The 13,371-nt window shown below is 45.9% G+C and overlaps 1 pseudogene, besides 3 other annotated features; it reads left to right on the top strand.

Annotated features, from left to right (window-relative positions):
- Nucleotides 5,691-6,216: an enhancer, noted in NCBI's record as "H3K27ac-H3K4me1 hESC enhancer chr10:94972077-94972602 (GRCh37/hg19 assembly coordinates)". NCBI's record gives its function as "activates a minimal SCP1, AML or CMV promoter by ChIP-STARR-seq in naive H9 embryonic stem cells {active_cell/tissue: H9 hESC(naive)}" and the evidence as "EXISTENCE:reporter gene assay evidence [ECO:0000049][PMID:30033119]".
- Nucleotides 6,217-6,744: an enhancer, noted in NCBI's record as "H3K27ac-H3K4me1 hESC enhancer chr10:94971549-94972076 (GRCh37/hg19 assembly coordinates)". NCBI's record gives its function as "activates a minimal SCP1, AML or CMV promoter by ChIP-STARR-seq in naive H9 embryonic stem cells {active_cell/tissue: H9 hESC(naive)}" and the evidence as "EXISTENCE:reporter gene assay evidence [ECO:0000049][PMID:30033119]".
- On the top strand, nt 9,444-11,881 carry XRCC6P1 (X-ray repair cross complementing 6 pseudogene 1; annotated as a pseudogene).
- Nucleotides 11,550-11,844: a silencer, noted in NCBI's record as "tiled region #1522; K562 Repressive non-DNase unmatched - State 13:Ctcf". NCBI's record gives its function as "represses a minimal TATA promoter and a strong SV40 promoter by Sharpr-MPRA in K562 cells {active_cell/tissue: K562}" and the evidence as "EXISTENCE:reporter gene assay evidence [ECO:0000049][PMID:27701403]".

The raw sequence follows: 13,371 nt of genomic DNA, 5'->3' as shown, positions 1-13,371 counted from the left end.
AGTTTTGGAGGAGACAAATATTCAAACCATGACAATATTCATTCATTCATTGATTCAATTCAATATCATTGAGTGCCAGGCCTTGTACCAGCTGCTGGGGTGCAGACATGAGCCAAGCAGGCCAATATCTGTCTTTGTGTAGCTTAGACAGACAGATGGTGGTCAAACAAAATCCCAATACAAAATAAACAGAGATGAGTGCTAAGGCAGAAAAGAACAGTCACTCTTGAGCACATAATAGGGGGACATGGAATCATATTTTTGACGGTCAGGGGCCTTGAGGATGAGAAAAAATTCCTTCCTTCCAACTTTTTTATTTTGAAAATTTCAAATCCATAGAAAAGTTGCAAGAATATTACAAGGAATATCTTATACCCATTATCTAGATTTACCATTTACTATTTTGTCACATTTGTTCTCTCTTAATTTTTTTCTGCACCATTTGAGAGAAAGTTGCAGACATCATGACTCTTTACCCCTAAATATTTCAGCATACATATGCTAAGAACAAGGACTTTCTCTAGAACCACAGTGTCTTGTCCAATTAATTTCAGATTAACATACTAGTTGCATCGATATTCAGACTGTTATGGGCTCAACTATGTCTACCCTAACAATTATATGTTGAAGTCCCAACCCCTAGTACCTCAGATTGTGACTATACTTGAAGATAGGGCTTTTTAAAGAATGTAATTAAGGTTAAATGAGGTCACATGGGTGGCCCTAATCCAAAATGACTAGTGTCCTTATAAGAAGAGGAAATTAGACTGGGTGCAGTGGCTCACGCCTGTAATCCCAGCACTTTGGGAGGCCAAGGCAGGTTGATCACTTGAGGTTAGGAGTTCAAGACTAGCCTGGCCAACATGGTAAAACCTCGTCTCTACTAAAAACACAAAAATTACTTGGGAGTGGTGACACACACCTGTAATCCCAGCTACTTAGGAGGCTGAGGCAGGAGAATCACTTGAACCTGGGAGGCGGAGGTTGCAGTAAGCCAAGTTCATGCCACTGCACTCCGGCCTGGGCAACAGAGTGAAACTCTGTCTCAAAAAAAAAGAAAAAAAAAAAAAAAGAGGAAATTAGGACACAGATGTGTGCAGGCATTGAGGGAAGATCATGTGAAGACTCAGTGAAAAGGTGAGAGGAGAGAGGCCTCAGATGAAACCAAACTGCTGACACTTTGATCTTGGACTTCTAGCCTCAAGAACTGTGAGAAAATACATTTCTGCTGTTTAAGCTACCCTGTCTCAGGTATTTTGTTATGGCAGTCCTAGTAGACCATGGACCACACAGTCCACAACCAAATTTTTCTAATTGTCCCAGTAATATTCTTTATACCTATTTTTTAAAATCTGGGAACCACTCAAGGATCACATGTTGCATTTCATTGTCAATCTAGTCTAGAACAGTCTAGAGTTTCCCCATAAATCTAGAACAGTCTTCCCCACATTTTTGTTTATGCTCTGCCCTGCTATTGATGTCTTTGAAGGATCTGGACCAATTTTCTTGTACAATGTCCCACAGTCTAGATTAATCTGATTGTTAGAATCCACTTTAATATTTTTGGCTAGAGTACTTCGTGGTAATGCTGAGTGGATGAGGTAGGCATTGAAAACCAGCAGTGGGCAGTCTGGGCAGAAATGTCAAACACTGCCATGCACAGAGCAGGTACTGTGGAGGAGGCACTGCTGCAGGCATCTTGGGTGTCCTGCATTCATGAAGGGAGGGCAGCGAGAGCCCGTGTATGTGCAGGGGAAGTGCAGGGCTGTAGGAGCACCAAGGGAGTCCAGGGCAGGTGGAAAAAGGAATTTAAGGATGGAAAAGGACAATTGAGGCCAGAATATAGAGATGATGAATGCCAAGTTAAGGCATCTGGTTTTGTGTCTGAGGGCTTGCAGACTCAGGGACATGTTTGTGATCAGAAAGCCCTGAGGGTTTGAATGCCTTGTCCAAATCACACAGGAGTGGCATGGCTCTAACTGGAGGCCAGGACTCTGATTCTTAGTTGTTGTCTACACACTACTGACAGTTTAGCTCACATGTTTATTGCATGGTTAGGATATTGCTTGGGAATCAGTGAGGTCAAGCCCTGAGAAGAGAAAACATAAGACACAGAGTCTGAGGAAAAGAGGTTGGTGGGGGCCGGGAGCAGTGGCTCACGCTGTAATCCCAGCATTTTGGGAGGCCAAGGCAGGCAGATCACTTGAAGTCAGGAGTTGGAGACCAGCCTGACCAACATGGTGAAACCCCACCTCTGGTAACAAAAATAAAAAAATAAAATAAAATAAAATAAATGGCTGGTGGAGTCAGGAAGTCTGTCGATCTCCAGAGCCAAAGTCTAAACTGAGATGCAGTCTATGAAGTATACCATAAGTGCCAAATAACCATTTGCTTTTTTCCTTCCTTTTGTTCTTTTGCAAACTATATTCTCATTGGCTAGTTCATTTCACCTAAATAACACACCTATCCACTGATTGATTAGATGTTCTCATTTGACAGATTTGAAAACCTGAGGCCTGGAGAAGTTCAGAAACTGCACAAAAAAGAGTTAGTGATGGGGCCAGGTGGCATTGCAGATCTCCAAAGCACCCGTGTCTCTTGACATTTCAAATTCCATGACATTCCCTTATCTCTCCCTAATTTGCTGTATGAAAATGGGGTTGAGCAAAAAGATGAAGCAAACAGGAGTCAGGCTCTAGGTTTCCAAAGAGTCTTTTTTGAAGACAGCAAGTCCCCTTGCTTTTCAAACCCATTCGTGAGCACCACAGCAGCCGTGCCAGTGAGGTCCCAGGTTTGGACAATGAGTCTGGCTGAGCACAGGCCTGGAAGGACAAACCAGGGCTCAGTGTGTCATGTGGTAGTCACTGGGTTCTGAGACACATGGGCACCCAGAACCCCTTCCCACAGAGCCAGGGCCAGGGTGACAATGGGCCACTTAGCCAACAGCAGCCTGAGGGAAGAGAAATGATCCCATGGCCGCTGGCCCTGATGGAGGACCAGGCACCTCTGACAGATCCTGTGATACCCTTCGGGGGCTAGGCTCTGTAGGTGGGTCCTGAGGCCCTGAGACTATTGCAGGCAGCCAGGCAGTTCAGGCCTCTGCCAGGGGGAAAGGCTGTGGTGACCACAAAGGCAAGCCCCAGCATCTCAGAGCCAGCCCAGGCCACACACTGTGCTGACCACGACTGAGGTGTTGCATACCTGGTTACATCTCCAGGGTCTAGGATGGACCTTCCAGGAGAGGATACAGAAGGAACACAGGATATCAGACTCGAATCACCTGCTTGGTCAGGTACCCCTGTCACCAACAAAACAAGCCACTTAGTCACAGATTCCCCCAGCTCATTCCCACACTCCCTTTCTTCTTGGAGAGGAGGGACTGCAGCAAGTTTACATCAACCAGGACTTATTGAGGGAACACAGTACCAGCCTCCACCAGTTACTGAGTGAGACCCAATCCCGACATATCGTAATCACAGCACTAAATCTGAAGCTGTCATAATCACAGCACTAAAATGGAGGTCAGTCACACTGAGACTTTGAGGGGTGTGTTGATGGGGAGAAAAGACAAGAGACAAATAATCCCAATATAGTGCCTGGCTCCCAGCAAGAGTTCTGTAAGCTTGAAATGGAATACAGAGAGGAAAAGAAGGGACAGGAGAAGGAGGGAAAGAGGGGGAAGTGAGGAAGGAAGAAGGGAAGGAAAGGGAAGGGAAATTACTAGGTGATAGTGATCTAATTGCAATTTCTTGCAATGCTTTAGGTGTCGACAGGAAACGCTGTGTTCTGATGTAAAATGGCCACACAACACCATACTCTACAAGCGCACATAACTGCAGGCACACTGCTATACGCACAACTGCCCATAGCCACTTCCACCTGGGTAGACAGCCTCACACTATAGTCTCAACTCCCCAATTCTCCACTGGTCTACAGGACTTGTTTAAAAGCACCCCTCCACTCCTGTCCACTCCCCACTCACCCAGGCACTAGGAAGGCCCCCCCACCCCACAGCCTTCATAGCCCACAGCCACTACCACTCCATACTCAGCTCGCACTCAGATGCGCAGCCACACCCCCGGGGGTACAGCCAGACACACAAGCAAGATGCCTTGTCCCCCCAAAGATTGGGAGAAGCTGGAAAGGACAAAAGGGAGGGAGACCAGGAAAGAAGCAGAGGAGACACTCAGCCCAAAACACTAGATGACCTATCAGCCCTGAGCCTGCTTCCCTGAATTGCCAGGAGCAAAGAGAAGAACAATTCCTTATGGGAGCAGGCGTCCTCCTCCTGGAAGAGGCCTTATATATCCAGGTTCCCGAGCAAGCAGATGTCTGAAAAAGTAATCTGACCCTCTGCGTAATCTCAAGGGACACTTCCTAGTTCTGTTATTCTCTGGTTCCTTGGAGAAGGGCAAAAATAATACATATCATCTCATGTTTGAAACACCTTACTGACACTACCATCTTGTTATAACCATGTGTGGTACTTTGAATCCATTACCTCAACTTACGCAACTTGGCTTGTCATTGCATTCTATGCAACCTTGGCTGGGAGAAAAGAGGTCTGGGTTCCAGTTCTCTGGAGGTCATTTAAACTCCTCCTGTGCCAAATTCCTCACCTCTAAAAGGAGAGGACACTCTAGGTGATGCCTGAGGCCCTTCAAGTTCTAATGTCTTAGGCTTCTACCCATCTAGAACAGTGCTTCCAATAGAAATATCATGTGAGCCACATAGATAATTTTAAATTATCTGGTCACCACCTAAAAAAGTTACAAGAAGTACACTTTGGGCAGATCACGAGGTCAGGAGTTCGAGACCAGCCTGGTGAAATCCTGTCTCTACTAAAAATACAAAAATTAGCCAGGCATGGTGGCACGTGCCTGTAGTCCCAGCTACTTGGGAGGCTGAGGCAGAAGAATCGCTTGAACCTAGGAGGCAGAGATTGCCGTGAGCCGAGATCGTGGCCACTGCACTCCAGCCTGGGTGACAGAGCAAGACTCTGTCTCAAAAAAAAAAAAAAAAAAAGAAAAGTAACAAGAAATAGGTAAAAATAATTTTGATAATAGATTTTATTTAACCCCATATATCCAAAATATCAGTATCTCAACCACTAAGCAGTGTTTTAAAAAATCTTTTGTTTTTTTGAGATGGAGTTTCACTCTTGTTGCCCAGGCTGGAGTGCAATGGTGCCATCTTGACTCACTGCAACCTCCACCTCCCAGGTTCAACGGATTCTCCTGCCTCAGCCTCCCAAGTAGCTGGGATTACAGGTACCCGCCAGCAAGCCCGGCTAATTTTTTGTATTTTTATTAGAGACGGGGTTTCACCATGTTGGCCAGGTGGTCTCGAACTCCCGACCTTGGGTGATCCACCCCCTCATTGGCCTCCCAAAGTGCTGAGATTACAGGCATGAGCCACAGGGCCCGGCCTGTTTTAAAAATTATAATGAGATATTTTACATTTTTTTTTCCTTCTACGTCTTCAAAATCCAGTGTGTATTTTATACTTACAGCACATCTCAATTAAGATGCTAAATTTTCACTGGAAATACCTGATCTGTTTTTAGATTTCATAAAATTTGCAGTTGTAAAAGGTATGACCCACATACCTAAATTGTTCCAAATACATTTAAAAATTTTTTCCAATAACTGAATCAAGCATTAGGTTTTCCGCTCTTTTTAGTTGACAAGTAATAATTGTACACATTTATGGGTACAGCATATTTCAATATGCATATTTAGTGTACAATGGCCAAATCAGTGTAATTAGCATATGAATCACCTCCAATATTTATCATTTATTTGTGTTGTGGACATTCAAAATCCTCTCTTCTAGCTTTGTGAAAACATACAATAAATGACAGTTAACCACATTTACCCCACAGTGCTGCAGGACACCAGAACCATTCCTTCTATCTAATATTGGTTTTTAAATTAAACTTGAATTAATATACAATTGTGATCTTCTCTTGCATTAGTCACATTTCAGGGACTTCACTGCTGCACGTGGCTTTCCATAGTGGAGATCGTTGCATGGGACAGTGGGGAGGGGTCCCGTAGGTGTGACCCTTCCCGCCCTGCTCACAGCCCCAACTGACTGCTAGTTCAGAGTGAGAGTGGACAGGTGTCACAGCCAATGTCAAGCCAGGCAACACCTGCTTGGCCACTTCATTGTCTGCGTACCAAGGAGAAGCCAAAGAAGGGCAGGCCTATCTGGTCCGTGGGCACAGTCCCCAGCCCCTTTCCATGGAGCTGCTGCCAACGTTTCCACAGGCAGAGGCCATGTTTCCAGCTCAGACGCAAAGGCATGGGGAGGCGGCAGGCATCTGAGCTTCCTTTTCTTACTCAAAGGAATGCCCACCAGGCAGCCAGCCAGGGCACAGCCCAGACTCTACGTGTCACTTTGGGGATTTGGGCTTTATTAGCACAAGTCAGATGCAGTGTGATAGGGGCGGTGGTAGTGGTGAGCAGGCAGTAGGGACAAAGTTCCAGGGGACGGTGGGGGAAGCATTAGCACTAGCAAACAAGGTCAAGAGAAGGGCATATCTGCTCTACCAAGGGTACAGGGAGAGTTCATAGATTTCAGAAATGTCACTTGGAAACTCACAGCACTGCTTGAGGGGAAGCATCGAAAGACACTGCCAGGACAATCCTTTTATGCCTTCTGGAACTGTGGAGAAACGTTACAACCAGCAAGGGCTTTACACTTTAATTTTTTCTTTTTAATAGAGATACGATTTTGCCATGTTGCCCAGGCTGGTCTTGAACTCTGCGCTCAAGCGATCCACCTGCCTCGACCTCCCAAAGTGCTGGGATTACAGACATGAGCCACTGCGCCTGGCCAGCTTCACGCATATTGTTATAATCTTCATGGACAAATCGAAACTCAAGTAACTTGCCTAAGGCTTTTCATCTACAAAGCTGAAATTTAAATTCAAGTCTATTTGACTCCAAAGGCTGCACCAAAGATTTAATACTAATAACATTTTTATTATTATTATTATTTCAGATGGAGTTTTGCTCTTGTTGCCCAGGCTGGAGTGCCATGGCGTGCTCTCGGCTCACTGCAACCTCCGCCTCCTGGGTTCAAGCGATTCTCCTGCCTCAGCCTCCTGAGTAGCTGGGATTACAGGCATGTGCCACCACACCTGGCTAATTTTGTATTTTTCATAGAGATAGGTTTTCTCCATGTTGGTCAGGCTGGTCTCGAACTTCCGATCTCAGATGATCCACCCACCTCGGCCTCCTAAAGTGCTGGGATTACAGGCGTGAGCCACCACGCCCCGCCAATAGTACCACTGTTAATTAGTTATTAATAATATCTAATAATAACAGGTTATGTTTATTGAATGATGCCATGTGCCTGACACCATGCCAGGTAGTTTATAGACTTGAACTAATTTATACTCACATTTCTGTGAAGTATGATTTCATACCCATCTTACAAATAAGGAAAACTGAGTTTCACAGAGGTCATGTAACTTGTCCAAGGTCTTGAAACTTCTAAGTAATAGAACAGATTCGAGCCTAACTTCCAAGCACATGAGCTTAGCCTTGATGTACTGCCTCTTATGGGAATACTTATGGTGGCAGATGCTGCTGATGTCCCACACTGTATCTTCTTGGTCCACATCTGAGCTCACTACAGCATCCCACCTCAAGTGCCTGCATCTCTGCTTCTCTGCCTGAAGGCTTTCTTGGGCACCTGGGGAGCTGTGGGGGACTTAGCACCTTTGGACATGCATTAGAGTCTGAGAGCTGCTATGACAATGTTCCATAAATGGGTTGGCTTAAAACAACAGAGATTTATTCTCTGACAGTTCTGGAGGCTAGAGGTCTGAAGGCAAGGTTGATACCTTGGTGGTTGATACCAGCAAGGCCACACTTTCTCTGAAGGCTCTTGGGGAAGGTCCTGCCTCACCTCTTCCTGGCTCTTGGGGGTTGCTGAAAGTCCCTGGCAGTCCTTGGCACGTGGCAGCATCCCTCCAATCCTGCCCCCATCTTCACATGGCTGCCTTCCTGCTGTATATCCCTGTTCTTGTGTCTCTTCTCTTCTCAAGGATACCAGTCTTATTGGATTAATGGCTGGCTCTACTCCAGGCTGACCTCAGCCTTTTTTTTTTTCTGTTGAGGCAGAGTCTCGGCTGTGTGGCCCAGGCTGGAGTGCAGTGGCACAATCTCGGCTCACTGCAGCCTCCACCTCCCGGGTTCAAGCAATTCTCCGGCCTCAGCCTCCCGAGTAGCTGGGATTACAGGCCCCGCCACCATGCCTGAGTAGTTTTTGTATTTTTAGTAGAGATGAGGTTTTGCCATATTGGCCAGGCTGGTCTGGAACTCCTGATCTCAAGTGATCCCCCTACCTCGGCCTTCCAAAGTGCTGGGATTACAGGCATGAGCCACTGTGCCCAGCCTGACTTCATCTTAATTAATTACATCTGCAACAACTTTATTTCCAAATAAGGTCACATTCTGAGGTTCCAGAAAGAACATGACTTTTGGGGGCACACTATTCAACCCAGTTCAGGGGGCAGTCTTCAGCCGACGAGGGAGGTGAGGGGGTAGCCAAATGCTCCAGCCACCCCATCCTCTGGTGGCACAATTCAAAGGCGTGTTCCACGTGAATTCCCAGAGGTTCCCCAGTGAGACTGAACCTCAGCTGCCCATAAGAGCCCTGCTCATTAATGTACCCATTATTGACTTTTCTTATTTCCCTGTCTCACTTTCCCTACTTCTTCATTTGGGCTTCCTAGGATCACCACCCAAATAAACTACATGTCCCCAGGTTTTTTTTTTGGGGGGGGGGGCAGGGAATTCAAATGCATGACCTATTTTTGGTTAAAAGTGAAAAGAGATTCTTGTCTTCTGTCCAAGTTGGTCACTTCCCTGCGCCAAAGTGAACAGTAGCCAACATGTCAGGGTGGGAGTTGTATTACAAAATCGAGGGCGATGAAGAAGCAGAAGAAGAAGAAGAAGAGAACCTTGAAGCAAGTGGAGACTATAAATATTCAGGAAGACATAGTTTGATTTTTTTGGTTGATGCCTCCAGGGCTATGTTTGAATCTCAGAGTGAAGTTTTGATTCCTTTTGACATGAGCATCCAGTGTATCCAAAGTGTGTACATCAGTAAGATCATAAGCAGTAAGAAAGATCATAAGCAGTAAGATTATAAGCAGTAAGAAAGATCATAAGTAGTGAGATCATAAGCAGTGAGATCATAAGCAGTAAGATCATAAACAGATCATAAGCAGTGAGATCATAAGCAGTGAGATCATAAGCAGTGAGATCATAAACAGATCATAAGCAGTGAGATCATAAGCAGTGAGGTCATAAACAGTGAGATCATAAGCAGTGAGATCATAAACAGATCATAAGCAATGAGATCATAAGCAGTGATTGAGATCTCTTGGCAGTGGTGTTCTATGGTACCGAGAAAGACAAAAATTCAGTGAATTTTAAAAATATTTACGTCTTACAGGAGTTGGATAATCCAAGTGCAAAACAAATTCTAGAGCTTGACCAGTTTAAGGGGCAGCAGGGACAAAAACGTTTCCAAGACCTGATGGGCCACGGATCTGACTACTCGCTCAGTGAAGTGCTGTGGGTCTGTGCCAGCCTCTTTAGTGATGTCTGGTTGAAGATGAGTCATACGAGGATCATGCTGTTGACCAGTGAAGAAAACCCCCATGGCAATGACAGTGCCAAAGCCAGCCAGGCCAGGACTGAAGCCGGTGATCTCCAAGATACAGGCATCTTCCTTGACTTGATGCACCTGAAGAAACCTGGGGGCTTTGACCTATCCTTGTTCTATAGAGATACCATCAACATAGCCGAGGATGAGGACCTCAGGGTTCACTTTGAGGAATCCAGCAAGCTAGAAGACCTGTTGCCGAAGGTTCACGCCAAGGACACCAGGAAGCAAGCACTCAGCAGGTTAAAGCTGAAGCTCAACAAAGATATAGTGATCTCTGTGGGCATTTGTAATCTGGTCCAAAAGGCTCTTAAGCCTCCTCCAGTAAAGCTCTATCAGGAAACAAATGAACCAGTGAAAACCAAGACCCTGGCCGGGTGCGTTGGCTCACGCCTGTAATCCCAGCACTTTGGGAGGCCGAGGCAGGCGGATCACCTGAGGTCGGGAGTTCAAGACCAGCCTGACCAACATGGAGAAACCCCGTCTTTACTAAAAAAAAAAGACAAAATTAGCCAGTCGTGGTGGTGCATACCTGTAGTCCCAGCTACTCAGAAGGCTGAGGCAGGAGAATCGCTTGAACCCGGGAGGCGAAGGTTGCGGTGAGCCGAGATTGTGCATTGTACTCCAGCCTGGGCAGCAAGAGCGAAACTCTGTCCAAAAAAAAAAAAGAAAAGAAAAACAGAAAAAACAAAGACCCGGACATTTAACACAAATACATGCAGTGTGCTTCTGCCTAGTGATACCAAGAGGTCTCAGATCTTTGGAAGTCATCAGATTATACTGGAAAAAGAGGAAACAGAAGAGCTAAAATGGTTTAATGATCCAGGTTTGATGCTCCTGGGTTTCAAGCCCTTGGTAATGCTGAAGAAGCACCATTACCTGAGGCCCTCCCTGTTGGTGTACCCTGAGGAGTCGCTGGTGATTGGGAGCTCAATCCTGTTCAGTGCTCTGCTCATCAAGTGTCTGGAGAAGGAGGTCATAGCATTGTGCAGATACACGCCCCACAGGAACATTCCCCCTTATTTTGTGGCTTTGGTGCCACAGGAAGAGGAGTTGGATGACTAGAAAATTCAGGTGACTCCTCCAGGTTTCCAGCTGGTCTTTTTACCCTTTGCTGATGATAAAATGAAGGTGTCCTTTATGTATGTATGTATGTATGTATGTATGTATGTATGTATGTATGTATTTATTTATTTATTTATTTTTGAGACGGAGTTTCACTCTTGTTGCCCAGGCTGGAGTACAATGGTGCGATCTCGGCTGACTGCAACCTCTGCCTTCCGGGTTCAAGCAATACTCCTGCCTCAGCCTCCCGAGTAGCTGGGATTACAGATGCCTGCCACCATGCCCAGCTAATTTTTTGTATTTTTAGTAGAGATGGGGTTTCACCATGTTGGCCAGTCTGGTCTTGAACTCCTGACCTCAGGTGATCCGCCCGCCTCTACCTCCCAAAGTGCTGGGATTATAGGCATAAGCCACCGCGCCCGGCGAATATGCCCTTTACTGAAAAGGTCATGGCAACTCCAGAGTAGATGGACAAGATGAAGGCTATCATTCAGAAGCTCCGCTTCACATACAGAAGTGACAGCTTTGAGAATCCCGTGCTGCAGCAGTAAGTACTTCAGGAACCTGGAGGCCTTGGCCTTGGATTTGATGGAGCCTGAACAAGCAGTAGATCTGACATTGCCCAAGGTTGAAGCAATGAATAAAAGACTGGGATCCCTGGTGGATGAGTTTAAGGAGCTTGTCTACCCGCCAGATTACAATCCTGAAGGGAAAGTTACCAAGAGAAAGCACAATAACGAAGGTTCTGGGAGCAAAAGGCCCAAGGTGGAGTATTGAGAAGAGAAGCTGAAGACCCACATCAGCAAGGTCATGCTGGGCAAGTTCACTGTGCCCATGCTGAAAGAGGCCTGCCGGGTGGATGGGCTGAAGAGTGTGCTAAAGAAGCAGGACCTGCTGAAAGCCCTCACCACGCACTTCCAGGACTGACCAGAGGCCGCGCGTGCAGCCGCCCTTCCACACCATTCCCAGGCTGCCTGGCCTTGTTCTCAGCCAGTTAAAATGTGTTTCTTCTGAGCTAGGAAGGACTTTAAGTTTTTGAGGCTTTCTGTTGCCATGGTGATGGTGTAGCCCTCCCACTTTGCTGTTCCTTACTTTACTGCCTGAATAAAGAGCCTTAAGTTTGTACTATTAAAAAAAAAAAGTTAAAAGAAAATGAGCCTCAGGCCTTTTGTCTGTTCAGTATGCCTTATCACAGGCAGCCAGGAGGCTTTTCTAGGGTCCTGTAATGATGGTTTTTGCTCCATGTTGGTTTAAGCAGGTTTCTGGGGGCCCACAACACCTTGGATGAGTAGGTGGGAGCCTGCTAGGGAGGGCTGGGTTGGGAAAGTGGGATATATACCTGTAGCTGGTGCTAGGCCTGTGGCTTTATGTAGAATGACTTTGCTGACTTGTGTCATTGAGGTTGACGATTTTATCAGTTATTCACAAGAAATAGTATAAACGTCAAGAAGTGTTTCTCAAACCAAGGGAATCCAATATGATAGCAACTGAGGGAAGATCTAGGGAAGGTGGAACATAGCGTGGTGATAATGTCAATTGGGAATTTCTATTATCTAATATTCATATTATGCCATATCATCTATAGCATCCACCAGCTCTGTGGTTTTGTTCACAATGGGCTCATCCATCACCTAGTTCAACATTTCTCAAATGTATCTTGCCAGATGCTCCTGAGAAAAAAGTTTCTGTGATCCAATCACGTGGATGAATGCTGATTACTATTCACTCTTTTTGAAGAGGCACAGTCCATATTAATATATTAAAAGTTTTGAAAATTTTGCTGTTGAAATTCAAATCCAGTTTAGCATTGCTTCCCATACTTATTTTGCTATGGAATCTCTTCCTCATGTAATACCTATTTAATCTATCATAGAGCTGGTATTCCACAGAATCCACTCTGGGAAACCCCAATCTATTTAACTAGTGTGGGTGCAAAAATGTCTTCTGCAGCCCACAGGACTTCCTTTGCAGAGTGTGCCAGGGCACAACTGTCCTTTTTTGTCCACACCTCACCCCCAATCTCCAACCTCCCTTCCTCCTTTTTGCTTTTTTCTCCATTTGGGTTTAGGTCACATGGATTCTTGGCTGTGGGCTAACTCCTCCACTGCCATTGCCTTGACACTTAAGTCCTCTTATCTAAGTCCTGCTTGGGGACCTTGGTCCAGCGGGGGTTCGGAGCGGCTCCCTCATCCCTATCTCTTCCAGGTACTAAAAGGGTCTGGGGACCCTCCAGGAGACAGACATCTACAAGGAAATATTCTATCACCAAGGAGCATCCACAAGCAGCCAGCATGATTCAGATCCTCCTACTTGGCTAGGGACACTGGAACTACTTTCCAAACGTGGGGTCTGTTGTGGGTTTAATTGTTTCCCCCCAAAATTTGTAGATGTAAGTCCTTACCCCAGTACCTCAGAATGTGACCTTCTTCAGAAACATAGTTGTTGCAGACATAAGTGATTAAGATGAGATCATACTGGAGTAGAGTGGGCCCCTAATCCAGTATGACTGGTGTCCTTATGAAAAGGGGGAATTTGGAGACAGGCGCGCACATGGGGAAAGCACCACATGAAGACGGGAGCAGTGCCTCCACTACCCAGGAACTACCAGAAGCCAGGAGT

Source organism: Homo sapiens, chromosome 10 (assembly GCF_000001405.40).
Source record: "Homo sapiens chromosome 10, GRCh38.p14 Primary Assembly".
Classification (NCBI taxonomy): domain Eukaryota; kingdom Metazoa; phylum Chordata; class Mammalia; order Primates; family Hominidae; genus Homo; species Homo sapiens.
The sequence above is the reverse complement of the archived record's forward strand: the minus strand, read 5'-3'. Positions and strand labels throughout refer to the sequence as shown.